This window comes from Homo sapiens, chromosome 11 (assembly GCF_000001405.40).
Source record: "Homo sapiens chromosome 11, GRCh38.p14 Primary Assembly".
Classification (NCBI taxonomy): domain Eukaryota; kingdom Metazoa; phylum Chordata; class Mammalia; order Primates; family Hominidae; genus Homo; species Homo sapiens.
Genome location: NC_000011.10, coordinates 112,051,489 through 112,074,097, shown reverse-complemented (window position 1 = coordinate 112,074,097; position 22,609 = coordinate 112,051,489). Strand labels below are relative to the sequence as shown.

The following is a 22,609-nucleotide window of genomic DNA, read 5'->3' as shown; positions in this document are numbered from 1 at the left end:
GGAACTAGATATGAAGAGACTTTTCTCCCTGAAGTTCCCCGGACCCAATTAGATGTTGTACCCAGGCTGGTTACCCTGGTAACAGGCGTCGCGGTTTGTCAAGGAACTGAGAGAAGAGGTGGGTTTGCCAACCTATAGAATGATTACCCGTTAGAACTGAGAGAAGAGGTGGGTTTGCAGACCTATGGAATGATTATCCGTTAGTTAAGTTTCCCGTTTAGCATAACCCTTACACAGTAATTGAAGAATCTAAACCTCTTTTCCTCATTCTAAAGATGCTGTGGGACACCTCTCCAATGGGAGAAGAGGCTAAGGAGATTTATCTGAAGACGTAGAGAAGTGTCCCAGCCTCTCTATTAGCTTACTTAATCTCGCAATAATCCTATGGTAGAGGTATTATCGTCTTCATTTTGAACAGAACATTAATTGCTCAAGGTCACAGAGCTAGTGAGAGATAGAACTAAGACCGGAATCTAGGCATTCTGGCTCACAAGTCCATGCTTTGAAATACTAAACTATACTGAGGATTAAGGAAGTCTTATGTGGCCCTCACCCCACACCACACCTCTGGCAATTTCAGAACTGGGGAGCCACCAGTCAGGTGTTGGAACAAGAAGATCAGGAAACCCAGACTTAAAATGATTACTCTGACTTGTCAGGGTCCAAATAGAAGTAAGGCCTTATCTGAGAGGACAATGTGAGAATTTAGGAAGAGGTACTAGATAATTAAAGAATAAGGAAAACATAAAGTGGTGCTGATCCACAACCTTTTAGACACAAATGCTGTCCTAACTTCACCAAAACAATTCCTGACCCATTCCACCTCCCCAAAGCAGAAATGAATCAATAATTACACAGACAGTTTTCTTCCTGAAGTCGTGTTTTTCCACAGGCTTAAGAAAATTATTCACCACTCATAAGTCATGGAGACATCCTCAAAAGGTCTGCTTACCCAAGTTACTCAGTTTTGGAACCTCCTAGATGATCTAGCTCAGAGTGACCCTGAGGGCTATGAGAAGTTTATTCAGCAGCAGCTGAAAGAAGGGAAACAGCTCTGTGCTGCCCCAGAACCACAGCTTTGTCTACAGACCAGGATTCTGGTATGTCGAGTTGGTGCCAGGGATGGGGAGGTCTTGAATGAAATGATCCCAGAATAACCAGAGAATACTTTACACTTAGGTATTGCTAATTTTTTTTGTTTTTTTTTTGTTTTGTTTTGTTTTGTTTTGTTTTTTGAGACAGAGTCTTACTTTGTCACCAGGCTGGAGTGCAATGGTGTGGTCTTGGCTCGCTGCAACCTCTGCCTCCCGGGTTTAAGCGATTCTCCTGCCTCAGCCTCCCAAGTAGCTGGGATTACAGGTGTGTACTACCATGCCCGGCTAATTTTTGTATTATTAGTAGAGGCGGGGTTTCACCATGTTGGCCAGGCTGGTCTTGAACTCCTGACTTCAGGTGATCCACCTGACTCAGCCTCCCAAAGTGCTGGGATTACAGGCATGAGCCACTGCGCCTGGCAGACTTTTTTTTTTTTTTTTTTTTTTTTTTTTTGAGATAGGGTCTTGCTGGCTCTGTCGCTCAAGCTGGAGTGCAGTGGCACAATCACAGCTCACAATCACAGCTCATTGCAGCCCAAGCGATCCTCCCACCTCAGCCTCCCAAGTAGCTGGGATCACAGGTGGGCATCACCACACCCGGCTAATTTTTAAATGATTTTTGTAGAGACAGGGTCTCCCTATGTTTCACAGGCTAATCTCGAACTCCTAGGCCTCAAGCAACCCTCCTACCTCAGCCTCTCAAAGTACTAGGGTAACATACGTGAGCCACCACCCCAGTCTGGATTCCTAATTAAAAGCCAGCAGCCTTGGGGAAATCAAATAACAACAGTATAATCAAACGCAGTTTTAATACATGAAATGACTTACTTGGAGCCTAAAATTCTTTCATTCCTGTGGTGAGTGGCTTTTAGGATATTATTTTTTAAATGTTTTTGTTTTTGTTTTTTTTGAGATGGAGTTTCACTCTCGTCACCCGGGCAGGAGTGCAATGGCACAATCTTGGCTCACTGCAACCTCCGCCTCCTGGGTTCAAGCGATTCTCCTGCCTCAGCCTCCCGAGTAGCTGGGATTACAGGTATCCACCACCACACCTGGCTAATTTTTGTATTTTTAGTAGAAACGGAGTTTCACCATGTTGGCCAGGCTGGTCTCAAATTCCTGACCTCAGGTGATCCGGCCGCCTTGGACCCCCAAAGTGCTCGGATTACAGGCGGGAGCCACCATGCCTGGCCTTAAATGGTTTTAAACTAGGTTTTGAGATGTGCAAAATTATTTGCTTTCCAGAAACCAAAAGAAAAAATACTTTTTATCAACCTGTGTCAGTGGACAAGGATCCCAGCTCCCCAATCAACCACTCATCCAGTACCTCTAACTGTTGGCAAACCAGAAGATACAACTGAGATATCAGGTACAAATAATTGAGAGAAAGCACATTGTAAAAATTTTATTAGGAATGGACAAGATCTTACTTGGTTGAGAGCATTTCAAGTAAAACTCTTTATTTGTTGATAATATAATTACAATTAGTGTATCTTTATGCAAATTTAATACTGTTTAACTTTTGTAATAAGGTGAGCTGTTTTAATCCATGCAAAAGTGCCAAGAAATGTCATAATTGCTGTAGCACTACTGTGATTACCTCTGAAAAATACAGGAATATTCTCTAGCTTTATCAGGAATATGGTTTAATATATTGCCTGACAGTATCATTAGTGCAACAATTTTTCTTCATTTCATACCCTTTCAATTACACACACAGATGCTTACACAGTCATTGATGTTGCCTACAATCCTGATGTTCTTCATGCAGCAGAAAAGGACCAAGTGAAAAAAAATCAGTTAATTCAGATGGCCATGAAATGCATTGAGGAGAAATTCCAGTTCACCCTCTCACACTCTTACCATATTACCAAATTTAGAATAAAAGGAAGCATTCAAAGAATGAAACAAAATCTGATGGGAATCCAAACTGATTCCATAGATTTAAGAGAAAAAATGAGAAGGGGTAAGTTGATGATTGTAAATGGAAAATTAAACTGCTTTAAGATGTTTTTGGATCCTGTATACATTTTGCAAACTAGAAATCTCTATTTTAAAAGGTGAAAAACTTAAGATAGAAAAATGCAAATATTAAATATTAGAAATATCATATCCTTGATTTTTAAATCCTGAAAAATTTTCAATCAAATTCTTTGGTTTAAGATTCTTTTGGCTTGATTCCCAAACTAATTTAACTGCAGCTTTATCTACCATCTCTACTAACACCACATATATTATAGCTCATAGTATTTTATGTTGTAGATTTATTTTTTATCTCCCCTCCACCCTTTTTTTCATAAAGAACTAACTCTTGGACAGATACGAAGCAGTACTATGAGCAATCCAGATCACTTTCCTCAACTGTTACTGCCAAAAGACCAAGTTTCAGGCAAAGCAGTGTGTCTGATAGAAGAGATTTCCAGTACTGAAATCCAGGTGGAGATGAAGATGCCAGCCTATGAACTAAAAATTGTGCATGATCACAGTGAGAAACCTCTGAAAATTGAGTTGAAAGTTGAATTACCTGGTATTAATTCTGTCTCTCTCTGTGACCTTAGTGTTTCTGAGGTAAGTTGAATAGATAACACTGTAAATTTGTATTGGCCAGCATTCACTAACATATATTATGCCACAGTAACAAACTACATAATTTCAGGGGCTTACAATGATTTGCTCAGGTTACCCGGTGAAGGAGCAATTCCCTTCTGAGATGTGCCATTCACATCTCAGCAAAGGGAAAATAGAATGATCAAACCATGCAGTGGATCGTAATACTTCTACTCAGACATGACACTTCATGATATCACTTCTACTCACGCTCCACTGGCCAAAGTAAGTCACAAGGCCAGTTCTACATCAGTAGGACTGAGAAGTGTATTCTCACAGTCACAGGAAGTCATATGGCAGGGTAAACGTACTATCCTCTTACAGAAGAGCAAATAGTTAGAGTCAGTCCTACAGTCTACCAGTCTACACTCTTGGTTGCAAATATTTGCTTCTTTCTGGAAGGAAAACACCTCCAATCCCAGTATCAGACTCCAAAGGACAGAATTTTGCTTTCTCTTCCTCTTGAACCATGGACTAAGACATGTAAAAAAAGTTATGTACTCCCTCAGTCCCATCTGTCATGCAATGTGGAATGGGGAGAAGATAACCGTAATTAACCATCTCAATTCAGAAATGGGAAAAATAAGAGGCACACTGCAGTTACTGGTGCACAGCAATTCTGAAATCCTAGTAGGCAGACATTGTGAGGGCTCCTTTTCTGGAGGTAGAGGATGTTCTTACTTAGGTTCCTTGAGAAAGTTCTGTAATTACCTAGCTCCCCAGTTCCATTTTTTTCCACGACCTTTAGCTTCAGTCTTCAGGAAGATGTTTTCTTTTTTTTTCCCTTTCCCACTATCCACCTTGGCCACATCTGAAGAGTATCGGAGAATGTGCCATTCTTATATGCTAAGTAGCCTCTTCAGCCTGGTTCCTGCTCATGGAATCTTGGGGCTCAAAGGATTGTTTTAAATTTTGAAGGCAGTTTCTTTTAGTCCAGGCTGGTAGCATTTTGATTCCAGTCAGTGATACCCATAATTCCTTTTTAGACATTGCCCATATTTCAAGACTTACCTGTCTCTTTAGACTTAATTGCTGTCATTTTAGCCAAATGTAAGGATTTACTGAAGTCCACCTTAGTACAGTCAGAGGTTTTGGCTGGGTACGGTGACTCATGCCTGTAATCCTAGGATTTTGGGAGGCCGAAGGGGGGTGGATTGCCTGAGCTCAGGGGTTCGAGACCAGCCTGGGCAACATGGTGAAACCCTATCTCTACTAAAATACAAAAAAAACATCAGCCGGGCGTGGTGGTGGGCACCTGTAGTCCCAGCTATTCAGGAGGCTGAGGCAGGAGAACTGCTTGAACCCGGGAGGCGGAAGTTGCAGTGAGCCAAGATCGAGCCACTGCACTCCAGCCTGGGCAACAGAGCGAGACTCTGTCTCCCCTCAAAAAAAAAAAAACAAAAAAAAAAAAAAACAAAAAAAATTCAGAGGTTTTAACAAAGAGCATAAAGATTTAATCTTTGCCTCTATATTGCCTTAATCAGCTTGGTTGATAAAAGTAATTTCTCAATTTTATCCCTTACTTGCTGAAAATAAAAATTAGTTCCACTTTTCAGTCATTGAGTCTTGGAATCTTGGGGCTCTATAAAGTCCTTTTTATTTATTTATTTATTTTGAGACAGTCTCACTCTATTGCCCAGGCTGGAGTGCAGTGGCACCATCTCAGCTTACTGCAACCTCTGCCTCCCAGGTTAAAGCGATTCTCCTGCCTCAGCCTCCTGAGTAGCTGGGATTACAGGCATGTGCCACCAAGCCTGGCTAATTTTTGTATTTTTAGTAGAGACGGGGTTTTGCCATGTTGCCCATGTTGGTCTCGAACTCCTGGCCTCAAGTGATCCACCTGCCCTCAGCCTCCCAAAGTGCTGGGATTACAGGTGTGAGCCACCGCACTCAGCCAATTCCCTTTTAATTTGACTTGCAAAATGGTCCATTCTAAGCTCATCTTTCTTGTAATATCCTGTTAAATGTAGTGAACAGAACCAACACATTACCATCTATTTTCCCACTTCTTCACCTAAAGCCACAAATCAACTAGGCACAGAGTATTTATCATCCAAATTACTGTGATAGTTTCACTAAAGGCTTCATCATTATGAAACATGGATCACTACCTTTCCAGGCTCCAATAAGTTTCCTTGCTGTTTGCTGGTCAGCCACATAATTTAGGATGGCAACACTCTACTGTGGTACTGTATCAGTTAACGTGTGATGTAGTGAGCAGCAGTAACCACCTTAAAATCTAAGGGATTTACAACAGTAATTTTTTGCTCATTCCAAGTCACATGGCAACAAATGGGATCTTTTTATGGCAAAGGAGTGAATAACTGGGAACAATAAGTTAGTATCCCAAATTTTAAGCAGGAAATAAATCTCTTGGTTTATTATTCTTAGGATGATTTATTGATTGAAGTATCTGAGAAGTACAGATTACATCTGAATCTTCCAAAACTTATTGATACTGAAATGACCACAGCAAAATTTATCAAAGAAAAATCCACGCTAATCATCACAATGCCTTTGGTGTGAAAGAAGAGCATCATATGTTTTGGGTTTTCAGTGCTAAAGTCATGTGAATTAAAGGACCTTCATTTTGGCTAAAGAGGTAGTAGTTTATCTTAAACACCAATTCCATTATTTTCTAAGTTCATTTTGACTGAGATTTTCTCTTCACCTGTTATGTCAAATATATATATATATATATATATATATATTTTTTTTTTTTTTTTTTTTTTTTGAGACGGAGTTTCGCTCTTGTTGCCCAGGCTGGAGTGCAGTGGCACGATCTCAGCTCACTGCAACCTCCGCCTCATGGGCTCAAGCGATTCTGCCTCAGCCTCCCGAGTAGCTGGGATTACAGGCATGCACCACCACGCCCAGCTATTTTTTTGTATTTTTAGTAGAGACGGGGTTTCACCATGTTGACTAGGCTGGTCTTGGACTCCTGACCTCAGGTGATCCACCTGCCTCGGCCTCCCAAAGTGCTGGGATTACAGGCATGAGACACCATGCCTGGCCATGTCTTATATTTTTTAACTCACTTCTTCTCAAATAAACATCAACCAGAATTAAAAACTATTGCTATGACACACTTGTTTTAAAAATATCTTAAGTAACTTATAATTTGGGAAAATTCTAATTGTTTCCAAGTAACAAGTGAGAACTCTTGGTTTACTGCTTGAAAAAGTCTCTAGTAAATTTTTCTATCAGGAAGAAATTCCAGACTGTGCAAGAAGTTTTTTATTATCAGGATGGGCCATATCAGTGAGTCTCCTCCAACAATAAAAATACAGGGTCAAATATAATATTCAAGCCTATTTAACCTCTGTACTTCACTGAGACTGAGTCTCGCTGTGTTGCCCAGGCTGGAGTGCAGTGGCACAATCTCGGCTCACTGCAACCTTCGCCTCCCAGGTTCAAGCGATCCTCCCGTCTCATCCTCCTTAGTAGCTGGGATCACAGGCATGTGCCACCACGCCTGGCTAGTTTTTGCATTTTTAGTAGAGAAAGGGTTTCACCATGTTGGCCAGGCTGGTCTTGAACTCCTGACCTCAAGTGATCCATCTGCCTCAGCCTCGCAAAGTGCTGGGATTACAGACGTGAGCCATGGCACTCAGCCCCTAACCTCTGTACTTCAGTTAAACAACTCTGCCAGGAGACCCAGCTACCCAGCCAGACATTTTAGTATCATATATAGACTTGTCGATAGATTGGATACAATGACATAGTAACAGCAAACAAAATATATCTTTTTTTTTTTTTGAGACGGAATCTTGCTTTGTTGCCCAAGCTGGAATGCAGTGGCGCAATCTCAGCTCACTGAAACCTCCACCTCCTGGGTTCAAGCGTTTCTCCTGCCTCAGCCTCCCGAGTAGCTGGGATTACAGGCGCCCGCAACCGCCCCTAGCTAATTTTTGTATACTTAGTAAAGACAGGGTTTCTCCATGTTGGCCAGGCTGGTTTCGAACTGACCTCAGGTGATCCGCCTGCCTTGGCCTCCCAAAGTGCTGACATTACAGACGTAAGCCACCACGCCCGGCCTGCAAAAATATATCTCATATTTGAACAAAAAAAGTAGTTGACATTGGGACAAGTGCTTTTCCCCTAAAGAAATGATCAGAAGTACAAAAGTGATGTACATTCATCTCTTCTAAGCTCTGAAATACAAAGGTACCAACTATCCAATTTATACATCAAGTAAGCTATATGCAGACTTTAAACATCCCTTAATTATCTTTTCTAGATACAAGTTTCCTTTAATTATCCTTGTAATAAAGTTTCTAGTTCAACATGCAGGCCAAAGTTCTTACTACTTTTAAAACTTTTTAACTATAGAAACTAATGTTGTATAACAGAAATAACTGATACATGACATTTAAAAGCAAATATAATTTTTTTTTTTTTGACAGAGTCTCGCTCGGTCACCCAGGCTGGAGTGCAGTGGCGCGATCTTGGCTCACTGCAACCTCTGCCCCCTACCCCTGCCCCATCCCGAGGTTCAAGTGATTCTCCTGCCTCAGCCTCCCCAGTAGCTGGGATTACAGGCGACTGCCACCACACCCAGCTAAATTTTGCATTTTCAGTAGAGACTGGGTCTCATCATGTTGGCCAGGCTGGTCTTAAACTCCTGACCTCAAGTGATCTGCCCGCCTCGGCCTCCCAACGTGTTGGGATTACAGGCGTGAGCCACTGGGCCTAGCCTAAAAGCAAATATAATTTTCTTAAGCCTGGTCTGGATTTTTGTTTTTTTTTCCTTGCCTCAAATCTCCTTTTTGAAGGCCTGGCCTGGATTTAAATTCTACTAGCAACAGGATAATTTATCTCCTGAAAAATTTCTGGAACTGTATCATGTCCTAAAATTAACAAACCTATTCTCACCCCTCAAAAAAACTGAGTGCCTTCACCTTATCTTTACTCCTACAAAATCACTACCAAAATGTATTTCCTAAAAACTCCTAACCACATAGAATTGAATCTCTACCCTTGCACTCAGCACTTAGATGCTATTTTCATCAGTATCTGTGTTTGTATACTCATTAAAATGCACATCAAGACCTAATATACTTAAAGTGGTAAAATTTACATTCTAGTTATTTTCCAAAATATTCTCACTCATTTTGTATTAATAAAAACAGCTCTATCTTCCCCTCCCTACAAAAAACAAAATGGGGCCCAGTAAGGGCATTAACTAATAATGAACTATGGACTGGTTTAAATTGGAATCTTACTGAGATTTCTTTTTCTCAAAATTAGAAATTTGGAGGCTGGGCGTGGTGGCTCAGCTGTAATCCCAGCCCTTTGGGAGGCTGAGGTGGGCAGATCACAAGGTCAGGAGATAGAGACCATCCTGGCTAACACGGTGAAACCCTGTCTCTAATAAAAATACAAAAAATTAGCTGGGCGTGGTGGCAGGCACCTGTAATCTCAGCTACTCAGGAGACTGAGGCAGGAGAATCACTTGTACCCAGAAGGCAGAGGTTGCAGTGAGCTGATATTGTGCCACTGGACTCCAGCCTGGGCGACACAGACTCCATCTCAAAAAAAAAAAAAAAAAAAATTTGGAGACCAGATTTTTCTACAGACTTCATTTTTAGATCACTTACCAGTAGTGATGATGATTTCCCCATGTATTCCAGGACTTGTGCATTACACATGATGAACATTCCTCCTATCTCTCTAATGTGCTGGTTTACTCCTTTCTAGACCATGCCTTGGGATACCCTAACTTCACAATCACAAGCTTCAGAATTGGGAATAAATCACCTAACAGAACCAGACCACACTTTCCATCTTGATAATAAGTGCCACACCCCAACATGGGGTGCTTCAGGAACTCTTTGAGCTTAAAAGTGTTAGATTATATTCTCCTAAATGTAGTCCATATTTTGCCAATTATATAAACTCAAAATTTATCTGTATTGAGAGCTTATACATACATGGCTGTCCCTAGATCTAAATAATTTAAATGTGAAAATAATTACCAACAGACCAAAAATTAAACCAGACATATTGAAGATTTATACTTTAATTTTTAAATAATCATATGAACCAAAAACACTATTTCTAACTTTTTTCTTTCAGTTCTGGTAAGAGACTGAATCGATTTAGATTATAGCTCAGATTAATTTTTAACTCAACAATGTTTATTAGAAGGCAACTGTTTTTATTTTTTTTCAAGGGAACAACAGAACCACAAGCATTAGCGAAAGATGAATTATCTTTGAAGTTTTGAATGTTTGAACCAGATTTGGATCATATTGATGATGGTCCCTTGTGATAAGCTTGTTTCTTTTGGATAATCTTCAACCTAAAATTACTAATTACTGAAAAATCAAATTAATGTATTGTTTTCATAATAATACAGCAAGGTAAAAGTCTGTGTGGAATATATGGAGTGTCACTTGTGTACCATGTAATAATGAATATTTAGAAACAGATTCAACACTGAAACACTTAAAGCAAATTTCAGGGGCTAACTCCACATATTACATATACCAGGAAGCACTGGTCAGATTCATTTTAAGTAGTCATAAATAATTTCAAACGTTTATTAAAACACATAAATATTAATAGAAAGTCTGGAATTGTGATAATGTTCCCAATTCATTTTTATAATCCAGAATATCGCCTCCTTCCTTCCAAAAGAAAGGCAAAATCTAACAAAATAGAAAAAAGTATTTAGGCAAATAAAGTAGCAACCTAGTTAATTTTTTCTCTCCAATAGTATTTTAGGGCTTTCTTATTTTACATGAGACGATGCTGGAGTAGAAGGACACAGAACACTTTTTTACACACATTTAACTTTTTTACTTTATCAAAGTAGAAATTACCATTTTGTTTTTGGCATTTTTAAGCACTCCAAAATGTTTACCAATGTACCCCTCCTTTTCAGACAGGATTTGGGATAAATGGACTTTGGCACATATCTAACTCTAGTAACAATATTTTACATATGTACACTTATTCCATATATATTCCTTAGTTATTTGATAGCATTTTCCACAGTGGAGTCATAAATTCTGTTCATTATGTTCATTTACAATGAACTACCAGTTAATCTTAGAAAATTTTAGTTTCACAACTTCTGTTAAATTATATTAACAATGTTTCTTTTTTGGAGGTAACTGTTGAATTCTGTACTCAAAATTACACATTTGTTTAAATAAATATCCACACAAATTCTCAGTTACATCAAGTAGCTGGTTTATATTTAGATTATCTCAAGTAGGGGGGAATAACCATGTGTAGGAATTCATAGAAAAATAAACAATCAGCTGAAGAGGTCTAAGAAAATGCTGACTTTTAAAATTTCACTTATTTTCCTTGAAGTTTTCTACCCTTCCCATCGATGATAAACCAAGATCATGTAATGGAAAATTTCAAACCAGGGCTAAATTCTAAAGTAAAGCTTCAATTCAAGCCCTTCCCCCAAGAGAATTAATTTTTCTGATTTCTCTTTCTCTCACATCTAAGGAGAACATTTTAGGCAGTTAAATTTCAGAACTTCAAGGTTTCATCAGGGTCACCTTTATGTACTTGTCTTTAGGGAACCACAATTCTACCTATCGTACATTTCCTAGAGGAAGTACTTATCACCAAAGGGCTAGGCAAGGCCACATACATGTCCCTTAATTAGGAGTACAGAGCTAAAAATCTGGTGTCTGATTATTAAATGTGCACAATATTTGGGTGTAATCGGCATTTTAAAAATTCAGTAATGCCCATTATAAATAACTTATCTGGACAGACTCAATAATAAAAATAACTGGTTAAAATAAAAAGAACCACCTGTTTAATAACATATAAATATCTTGTTAAGAATGAATCAGTGTGACCTGGGAGAGTTTAGAAATTCTTGAGTTAGTTACAACAACATAGTGATAGGTTTTTCAAGGTACTTTCTAAACTCAGCAAGCCACTGGGCTCCAACTGCTCCATCCACCACCCGGTGATCACAACTGAGTGTAACAGACATCATGCTAGCCACATCAAACCTAGAAAAAGATAAAGACATTTTAGATATTCTGAAAGAAAATACTGCATTTCAGCCAGTAACCACCCAAATGCTCACTCCTACCCTATAATCCCAACCAGGTAATACTTCCTATCTACTCTTCCAGTCTCCTATACCTTTAGCTCAAATTTATAGCTTGAAGAAACAGACCAGATACCTGGAGTATGGGTGGGCAATGGGCCAAATCCTGTCCTCTGCCTGTTTTTATTAGGTAAAGATTTACTGCAATTCATTTGTCTTGTTTATGCCTCCCTTCATACTACAATGGCAGATTATTTGCAACAGCAGCCATATGTCCCAGAAAGCCTAAAATACTTACTATACAACTAAAAAAAAGCATGCTGACTCCTCACCTAGAATAAATAAGGCTTTCCACCTCAAATAGGACTAACTGCATTTAGTAAAGTTGCTGCCTTGAAGAATTTCGTATTTTTTATATATATATAATTTTATTTGAAGATACAATATAGCATGCCAATAACTATATATAAAACTGAGACTCTGGCCAGGCACACTGGCTCATTCCTGTAATCCCAGCACTTTGGAAGGCTGAGGTGAGCAGATCATTTGAGGTCAGGATCAAGACCAGCCTGGCCTACATGGTGAAACAACATGTCTACTAAAAATACAAAAATTAGCCAAGTGTGGTAGTACATGCCTGTAATCCCAGCTATAGCTACTTGGGAGGCTGAGGCAGGAGAATTATTTGAACCTGGGAGGCGGGGATTGCAGTGAGCCGAGATGGCACCACTGCACTTCTGCCTGGGTGACAGGGTGAGTGAGACTCCATCTCAAACAAACAAACAAAAAAAACACTGATACTCAAAAACAGGTATGGTTGACCCTCCATATATCCATGGGTTCCGAATCCATAGATTCAACCAACCATGGATCAAAATATCCAGAAAGTAAACAATTCCACAAATTTCCAGTAAGCACAACTTGAATTTGCTGCACACCGGGCACTACACTGGATCCATGTGAATGAAGTGCTGTTTAGGTATTGTATTATTATAAGTCAAGAATAAAGTATACAGAATAATGTGTGTAGGTTATATGCAAATATTACATCATATCATATCAGGGACTTGAGCATTGTGGATCACGATATTTGAGGGGGTTCCTGGAGCCAATCCCCTGAGGATACCACAGGACAAGTGTACAGTGTAATAAAAATTAGCTTACGACTTCCCCTCCATTTTGGCACTTACCCTTTTTCATTATCTGCAGGGACCAGTTTATCCTCTGAAGCACCAATTGCCAAAATACATGCTTGAGGTGGGTTAATAATAGCAGAGAAATTCTTAATTCCAAACATTCCTAAATTGGAGATCGTAAAAGTGCCACCCTAGAGGAAAAAAAATTAAAAATAAATTATAGTTTGTCAACATAAATCAGAAAACTTGACAAATGTTCTGTGAAAAGACCTTAAGCTAAAAAGGTGCAAGGTCTTAAGAAAGGCCTGAATGGAATACACATTACTGAAGATATACAACCATTACAATATGAACAAAAATGTCAGCCGGAAAATGTCTTATTTTCAAACAATATCTTCTTTTGGATATATGATTGAATTTTACTTTATTTTCAGAACGGTGTGTCAATAAGAGTTACGTGGCAGGCCAGGCACAGTGGCTCACACCTGTAATCCCAGCACTTCGAGAGGGTGAGGCGGGTGGATCATTTGAGGTCAGGAGTTTGAAACCAGCCTGGCCAACATGGTGAAACCCCGACACTACTAAAAACATACACACACACACAAAATTAGTCAGGTGCAGTGGTGCATGCCTGTAATACCAGCTACTCAGGAGGCAGAGGTAGGAGAATTGCTTGAACCTGGGAGGCGGAGGTTGCAGTGAGCCAAGATTGCACCATTGTACTCCAACCTGGGTGACAAGAGTGAGACTCTGTTTCAAAAAAGAATTACGCTGGGCGTGGTGGCTCATGCCTGTAATCCCAGCACTTTGGGAGGCTGAGGCAGGCGGATCACAAGGTCAGGAGATCAAGACCATCCTGGCCAACATGGTGAAAACCAGTCTCTACTAAAAATACAAAAAACTAGCCGGGCGTGGTGGCAGGTGCCTGTAGTCCCAGCTACTTGGGAGGCTGAGGCAGGAGAATGGCGTAACCCAGGAGGCGGAGCTTGCAGTGAGCCGAGATCATGCCACTGCACTCCAGCCTGGGTGACAGAGAGACTCCGTCTCAAAAAAAAAAAAAAAAAAAAAAATTACGTGACAGAATCAAAAGGTGAAAAATGCAATAAATGCATTATGCAAACCTTAAAAATAACATAATTAGAAAGCAATAATTAATACCCTACCTGGAATTCATGTGGCTGTAGTTTACCCTCTCTTGCTTTGGTTGCTAAAGAAACAACATCATTAGCAATGGTTTCCACTCCTTTTATATGTGCATTAAACACAATAGGTGTGATGAGTCCTGCAGGAGTACTGACCGCAACACTGACATCAACAACATGATTTCTGTTTAAAAAGAAAAATAAATATAATAAAAAACTGTTTATTAAGAGCCTGTGTGCCAGGTTAAGCAAGAATATTTATATTTACTTCAAAAATTTTTTGAACCAATGTGTGTTATTGTTCAGCCAAAGACAAAAATTAAGATGTCTATCCTAATTTTTACATTTTGCTGTGCCCTCTCCTTGACTTGTAGTTATTAAAAATCAAAGAGAGGTCCGGGAACGGTGGCTCATGCCTGTAATCCCAACACTTTGGGAGGCTGAGGTGGGCGGATCACTTGAAGTCAGTAGTTTGAGACCAGCCTGGCCAACATGGCGAAACTCTGTCTCTACCAAAAATACAAAAGTTAGCTGGGCATGGTGGTGCACAGCTGTAGTGCCAGCTACTCAGGAGGCTGAGGCAGGAGAACCACTTGAACCTGGGAGGTGGAGGTTGCAGTGAGCTGAGATCACACCACTGCACTCCAGCCTGGGCAGCAGAGCGAGACTCCATCCCCCAACGCTGCCCCTGCCCCTGACCCCACCGCCTGCCAAGAAAAAAAAAAAAAAAAAAGAATGAGAAATGTGTCAGCAGCAGTAGGTTGGTTTCGCACATATCGTCTAACATCCCCTGCCGTCTGCCTTGACCGACACGTGAATGCAGCTGAAAGAAAACCCCACCAATCAGAACTCCTTGGATTTTGAGTGGACGTACATTGGCTGCAGTTGAGTCTCTGCAAGTAGTTTGAGCAGATGAAAGGAAGAGTGAAGGGAAAGAACTGCATTGTAGCAAGAAATAGGAGTGCTCAGGATACATGGGTGGTGGTACCTCAGAAGAACGTAAAAGTAAGGGGTCCCAATCTTTTTTTTTTTTTTACACAATATCAGATCTTCTGTTATCAAGGAGTCCCAATCTTTTCTACAGAATGTGTCCCTATGCATCTGGATCTTATCTCAGAATACCTTTTTAACACTGAAAATACTCAAATTACTAGAAAAAAGAGAGAAACTATACTGAAATTCAGTTATCAAACGGTTCAAAAGCAAAATTATGACAAATGTGCTTCTGTATTCACTCAATAATAAGATCTTGTTGCAGGTCTAATAATGGCTATCATTTTGAAGCAGGGATGAACAAAATAACATTTTGAGATATATACAACTACAATGTGATATGAAAATAACTGATTTTTATTGGTCACCAGACACAAGTACTGTTAACATTTGATCTGTTCTCTACATTTATAAAAGGAAGAAATGCTAAATGTTAGTAGAAAAAAAAAAAGGTGATTCCCCCCCCCCACCCCCCCCTTCCCCCACCCCAACTGAAGTTCACAAGCTCATGGATTCATGGATTTTATCCGTGGTCTCCTTGGGGTCTGCCTAAGGGCCCCTGCTAGTGTTCTGCAATCGAGAAAAAGTTAAGACTTCAAACAAAGGCACAGCTCTGCCTCCAAAGAACTCCAGCTCTTTCTAGGCACAAGCTCCAAAAAGATCAGTGGGTACCAAATCCCCCAATTTGCCTAAGTTGGCTAGAGCAGGATTTTGTCACTTGCAAACAAACACAGGAACCTGCTCTAATAAAAATACCGTGTATGACTCATTAATTACCACAGAACTGTAGCCAAGGTATCACACAGCAAATACTGCTTTCTTGAATAAATTATTACAATATTGCTTGTTCAATCATCTTCCCTTTGAGACAGTAAGGACAGTATTCCCTATATTGTTCACCACTGAATCCAGTAAACAGTACATGTTAAATAAATGTTGAATGGGTGTATGAACAAGTAAATGAATGGTGTTTGGTTAGAATTAACAGACAACCTCAATTTCTTCATCTAAGTATAGAAATATCTTGATATTCCAGGTTCAGTTCCAGACCACCAAAATAATATTGCAATAAAGCGAGTCACATGAATTTTCTGATCTCCTAGTACATACAAAAGTTATGCTTAACACTACACTGTTGTCTACTAAGAGTGCAATAGCATCGTGACTAACAAAAAACCAATGTATACACCTTAATTTAAAAATACTTTATTGCTAAAATATGCTAAAAATCACCTGAACTTTTAGTGAATTGTAATTTTTTGCTGGTAGATCTTGCCTTGATGTTGATGGCTGCCGACTGATGAGGGATATCAATTATCTTAGCTGTATCTTCTGAATAATTTGCTGCTTCACCCTGTACTTTTATGTTATTATGGCCTCCTTTCCTTCAACCTCATGAGCCAACCTCTGCTAGCCTCAAACTTCTGTTACGCGGCTTCCTCACCTCTATCAGCCTTCAAAGAATTGAAGAGAGTTAGGGCCTTGCTCTGAATTAAGCTTTGGCTTAAGGGAATGCTGTACCTGGTTTAATCTTTTATCTAGACCACTCAAAACTTTCTCCGTATCAGCAACAAGGCTGTTTCACTTTCTTATCATTCGTGTGTTCACCAGGATAGTACTTTTCATTTCTTTCAAGAGCTTTTTCTTTGTATTCACAAGTTGGCTGTTTGGCACAAGAGGCCTAGCTTTCAACCGATCTTGGCTTTTGACATGCCTTACTCATTGAGCTTAATCATTTCTAGCTTTTGATTTAAAGTAAGAGACGTGAAAGTCTTCCTTTCACTGAAACACTCAGAGGCCATTGTAGAGTTACTAATTGGCCTGATTTCAGTTTTATTGTGTCTCATGGAATAGGGAGGCCCAAGGAGAGGGAGAGAGACAGAGGAACAGCTGGTTGATAATTCTATCAATTCTATCAACCAGTCAGAACACATGCAAAATTTATCAATGAAGTTTGCCATCTTATATGGGCATGGTTCATGGGGCATTGAAACAATTACAATGGTAACATCAAAGATCCTTGATCACAGGTCACCATAACAGATACAATAATAAAGTTTGAAATACTCTAGGAATTGCCAAAATGTGACACAGAGACAGGAAGTGAGCACATGCTGTTGGAAAAATGGTGCCATCAACTTGCTTGACAGAGGGTTGCCACAAGCCTTCAATTTATAAAAAAGCACAATAAATCAAAGTGCAATAAAGCGAGATACTCTCACAAGTAGATGGTTCTCACTTCACACCCACACGGTAACAAATATTGATGAGGACATAGAGAAACTGGAACACTTATCCACTATTGGTGGGAAGGTAAAATGGTGCAACCACTTTGAAAAATAATGTAGAAGTTTCTCTAAAAATTAAACATAATTTTACCCTATGACTCAGGTATTCCACTCCTAGGAATCTACTGAAGAGAAATAAAAATATATGTCCACACAAATAACTGTATGTAAATACTCATAGTAGCATCATTCATAATAGCAAAAAACTGGAAAACATGTTAACTGGTGAATGATAAAGAGGTATATTGATACGATTAAACACTATACAGCAATAAAAAAGAATAAACTACAGATACATGCTACAACATGGATGAGTCTCAAAAACATTTCGTTAAGTGAAAGAAAGTAGATGCAAAAGACCACATATTTTATGACTCCATTTCTATAAAAGGTCTAGAAAATACAAATCTATAGACTCAAGCACTATAACAAATTGCCCAGGGGCTGAAGGTGAAAATAAGAATTTACTATAAATGAGCATGAGTGATCTTTTGGGGGTGATGAAAATTTCTAAAATTAGATTGTGGTAAAGACTGCGTAATTCTGCACCTTTAACAAAAATCAAGAAATTGTACACTTAGAGCAGGTACATTTTATGATACGTAAAATGGCAAATTAAATGTTAAAAAGTGTCTACATGCGGCCAGGCACGGTGGCTCATGCTGTAATCCCAGCACTTTGGGAGGCCGAGGCAGGCAGATCACAAAGTCAAGAGATTGAGACCATTCTGGCCAACATGGTGAAATCCCATCTCTACTAAAAATACAAAAATTAGCTGGGTGTGGTGGCATGTGCCTGTAGTCCCAGCTACTCGGGAGGCTGAGGCAGGAGAATCGCTTGAACCCGGGAGGCGGAGGTTGCAATGAGCGGAGATAGCACCATTGCACTCCAGCCTGGCAAAAGAGCGAGACTCCACCTCAAAAAAAAAAAAAAAAAAAAAAAAAAAAAAAAAAAAAAGTGTCTATATGCTGGCACAGAGGAGAATTAAAGGAATATTAAAAAAAAAATTCCTGCCTCTTATCTAGATTTTAAGTATCCTGTATTTATATTTAAGGAATATAAATTCCTTGAATGTTTGCTGCTGTGACGATCATCACGGTGGCCATAGCACGGAAAAGGAATGCATCTAAAAGCAAGGAACAGGAAAGCCCAAACAGCATCCTAGAAGGAGAGAACTGAAAGGTATGTTCAGTAACAGTGGCTAACTCAGAATGGCACAAGAAGAGGGGTTTAGAGAGGAGCAATAGTTGAATATAGGCCTTGGCCGGGCGCGGTGGCTCACGCCTGTAATCCCAGCACTTTGGGAGGCCAAGGCAGGCAGATCACAATGTCAGGAGATCGAGACCATCCTGGCTAACATGGTGAAACCCCATCTCTACTAAAAATACAAAAAAATTAGCCGGGCGTGGTGGTGCACACCTGTAGTCCCAGCTACTCGGGAGGCTGAGGCAGGAGAACGGCATGAACCCACGAGGCGGAGGTTGCAGTGAGCCGAGATTGCGCCACTGCACTCCAGCCTGGGCGACAGAGCAGGACTCCATCTCAAAAAAAAAAAAAAAAAAAAAAAAAATAGGCCTTGACTGAATTACGGAAGACTGTCAATGCCTTAAGCAAGCCATTTCTGCCAGGCTCCAGAAAACTCTCCACGAGTCAGTAGTATGAATAATGCTGAAAACAGGAAGACTAAAGTCTGTTTAGTGGGATGAATGGTGGCCCTCCAAAAGATAAGTCTTTGTCCTAATCCCTGGAACCTATCAATGTGACCTTATTTGGAAAAAGGTCTCTGAAGGTATAATTAGGATCCTGAGATAAGATCATCCTATATTATCTGAGTGGCCCTAAATCCAATACCAACTGTCCTCTTAAGAGAAGAGAAAATACAGACACAGAGGAGAAGGCCATGTAAAGATGGAAGAAGAGACTGGAGTTATGCAATCACAAACCACTAAATGCCTAAAGCCACCAGAACTGGAAAAGGCAAGGAAGGATTCTTCTCTATAGTCTTTGGAGGGAACGCATTGCCCCTGCTGAAACCCTGATTTCAGACTTGTTTCCCGAACTGTGAGAGAATAAATTTGTTTTAATCCATCAACTTTGTGGTCATTAATAATGGCAGCCCTGGAAAACTATACAGTTTATAAAGAATATTAGATGTCCAGATGTTCTCCAAATGAAGAATGACCAAGGAAAAGTTAGAACAAAGAGTTTACCCAATAGGTTTGATCAGATTGAGAAATGGTTTAATGGTTTCTGAATCTCCTCTCCTCGCTTGTGGAGTTTCAGAAAGAATTCACATATACGTAGAAAACTAGCCTTCCCTAAAGCAATTATTAAAATCAATTAGGTTAGCATTCATGGTATCATACATGTCTTAGTCATACACAATCACTGTCACAGGCATTCAAATATTAACACTGGACACACACACATACTCTAAAAAAATTAACCAAATATAGATTTATATTTATTTATTATTATTATTATTTGAAATGCAGTCTTGCTCTGTTGCTCAGGCTGGAGTGCAGTGGCGCGTGCAATCCCAGCTCACTGCAACCTCCGCCTCCCAGGTTCAAGCAATTCTCCTGCCTCAGCCTCCTGATTAGCTGGGACTACAGGCGCGCACCACCATACCTAGCTATTTTTTTTTTTTTGTATTTTTAGCAGAGACAGGGTTTCACCATGTTGGCCAGGCTGATCTCGAACGCTTGACCTCAGGCGATCCACCTGCCTTGGCCTCCCAAAGTGCTGGGATTACAGGTGTGAGCCACCATACCTGGCCCCAAATATAGATTTAATCCAAATTTGTGCTACAATCAATTTGGGAAGATGGTGTTATGTGTGTGTATGTAGGAAGGGCATAACAAACCTACCTTTTTTTTTCTCTCTAGTCCCAAGACTGGAGCTAAAGCTAAATATTAATGTTCTTTAACGGGGAGTCAGTCAATAAAGTAAAATAAATGAAAAACTCATAAAAGGCAACAGAAAAATGTTATTTGGAAATCTGCAGGTAAATAAATACCAGAAGAAACAATAGTTTAAAAGCTGTGTTTAAGGGCTGGGCGTGGTAGCTCACACCTGTGATCCCAGCACTTTGGGAGGCCAAGGTGGGCGGCTCACAAGGTCAAGAGTTCAAGACCAGTCTGGCCAATATGGTGAAACCCCATATCTACTAAAACTACAAAAAAATTACCTGGGAGTGGTGGCGCATGCCTGTAATCCCAGCTACTCAGGAGGCTGAGGTAGGAAAATTGCTTGAACTCGGGAGGCGGAGGTTGCAGTGAGCCAAGATCACGCCACTGCACTCTAGCCTAGGCGACAGAAAGAGACTCTGTCACAAAAACAAAACACAAAAAACAAAAAAAAACAAACAGTTGTGTTTGCCTCCTGGGAACTGACCTCAGATTAAGGGTTAGAACAAGTCACTCTAAGCCATGGAGCAGTATTCTAACCTAAATTTAATATTTATTAGGAAAATATTTTTTTGAGACAGAGTTTTGCTCTTATCACCCAGGCTGGACTGCAATGGCACAATCTCAGTTCACTGCAACCTCCACCTCCTGGGTTCAAGCAATTCTCCTGCCTCAGCTTCCCAAGTAGCTGAGATTACAGGCATGCACCACCACGCTCAGCTAATTTTTGTATTTTTAGTAGAGATGGGGTTTCACCATGTTGGCCAGGCTGGTCTCGAACTCCTGACCTCAAGTGATCCACCTGCCTCGGCCTCTCAAAGTGCTGAGATTACAGGTGTGAGCCCGGCCCTAAAATATTAATAAATATTAGTAAGTGTGGTATAATATATACTTGGTCTTTGTCCCCATGTTGCCAGTTCCTGTCATAGAGCCCCTAGAACCGGAATTTCCTGAGTGATAGGAGTATGTTTTGTTATTTATAATGAGCCCTTATATAATAAGCTCCATGACGGATACTTAGGGTGGGATCCCTAAGTAACCTCGGGATGGCGCCAGTCACTGGAAGGGTCAAAATGACTAGAGGATTAGAGAGTTGGAACTTTTAGCTCTACCCACTGACCTAAGGGAAAGGGGAGGGAGATGTAGGCTGGAGATCCTGGAGATCAAACTCTACAAAGACTTTTTTCTTCCTTTCCTTTTTCTCCCCAGCCCCCTCTATTAAGACCCTTCAACAAGATTTAATGAGCTTCCAGTTGCTGAACTGTGGAAGTGCTGGAAGGGTGGTATGCCCAGAAAGGACATGGAAGCTCTGCACCACCCCACCTCAAACCTCGCCCTAGCCATCTCTTCATCTGGTGTTCATCCATATCCTTTGTAATATCCTTTATAATAAACATAAAGTGTTTCCCCAAGTTCTGTGAATTGTCCTAGCAAGTTAATCAAACCCAAGGAAGAGGTCACAGCAACAAGTTTGTAGCCAGTCAGTTACAAGTATGAGTGGCCTACACTTTTGACTGGCATCTGAAGTGAGGGCAGTCTTGTAGGACTGAGCCCTCAATCTTTGGGATCTGACACTATCTACAGGTAGACAGCACCAGAATTGAATTGAATTGAATTAGAGGAAATCACTGCAGAATTAATTGTTTGGTTGGTGTGTGGGGAAACCCTCCCCACCCCTGCCTCTACTCATCTGGTCACAGAAGCGGTGCTGTGACTGTGTGACAGCAAAGTACAAAGGAAAAAAGTTTGTTTTTTTCCTTTCAGAATAAGAATAACATAGAAGCATCTACACAGCAAGAAACGAATAGGCTTAGGAGTCAGAATCTTGGTTCTAATCACAGTCCTAACACTAATTTATTAACTCAGGGCAAGTTACTTAACTCACGGAGTCTGTTTCTTTATCTAGAAATGGAAGTGAAAGCACTTAAATCATAAGATAGTCATGAGAATTGAATGAGATAAAAGAGACACACTGAGTACCATACTACTCTATACCATTGTATTATTAACAATTACTGTTCTAATTTTGCCCGTAAAGTTCAGGAGAATGAAAATCATCTGTTTAACCCTGCTTTGTGACAGTCATTATCAACTTAATTACACATATTTGTTCACTAATCTCCCTTTGCTGAACTCATACAAAGAATCTATAGCCTTTACTAGCTAAATCCAGCAATATCGCAGGCTGGACACTGTGGCTCACACCTGAAATCCCAGAACTTTGGGAGGCCGAGGCTGTAGAATTGCTTGAGCCCAAGAGTTCAAGACCAGCCTGGACAACAGAGCAAGACCCTATCTCTTTAAAAAATAAATCAACAACAACAACAAAAACAAAAACAAAAACAAGGTTGAAAATTGGGGCCAGTAAGAAAAAAAAGTAAAAAGCAGTAACTCATAAACATTTTTGT

At 40.1% G+C, this 22,609-nt stretch overlaps 2 protein-coding genes across 27 annotated transcripts in view; one reads left to right on the top strand and one right to left on the bottom strand.

The window, feature by feature from the left end:
• On the top strand, positions 81-21,613 carry PIH1D2 (PIH1 domain containing 2). Of its 13 annotated transcripts, none has more exons than XR_007062450.1 (7): positions 81-118; positions 893-1,100; positions 2,340-2,463; positions 2,815-3,060; positions 3,397-3,662; positions 18,318-18,474; positions 21,411-21,613. XR_007062450.1 is itself a non-coding variant. In NM_001439210.1 (6 exons), the coding sequence occupies exons 2-6, from the start codon at positions 924-926 to the stop codon at positions 21,441-21,443; spliced, it is 846 nt and encodes a 281-aa protein (NP_001426139.1). In that variant the 5' UTR covers positions 81-118; positions 893-923; the 3' UTR covers positions 21,444-21,613. The 13 variants fall into 13 exon arrangements, 11 of the variants coding, with proteins under 11 accessions (NP_001426139.1, XP_047282324.1, XP_016872693.1 ...); XR_007062449.1 differs by lacking the exons at positions 18,318-18,474; positions 21,411-21,613 and adding exons at positions 6,093-6,303; positions 9,877-10,075; NM_001439210.1 differs by lacking the exon at positions 18,318-18,474.
• The window catches only part of DLAT (dihydrolipoamide S-acetyltransferase), a 38,997-nt gene continuing 26,081 nt past the window's right edge, over positions 9,694-22,609 (bottom strand). For 13 of the 14 annotated variants that reach the window (NR_164072.1, NM_001372042.1, NM_001372031.1 and 10 more), the window contains 3 exons: positions 14,033-14,195; positions 12,924-13,060; positions 9,694-11,692 (listed from right to left, as the gene is read on the bottom strand). Coding sequence is in view for 13 of the 14 variants with exons in the window: in NM_001372042.1 (NP_001358971.1) it covers positions 11,563-11,692; positions 12,924-13,060; positions 14,033-14,195 (430 nt within the window). In the remaining variant the exon portion in view is untranslated. The remainder of the gene's footprint in view (positions 11,693-12,923; positions 13,061-14,032; positions 14,196-22,609) is intronic. The other variant, NM_001372033.1, reaches the window with a different exon arrangement.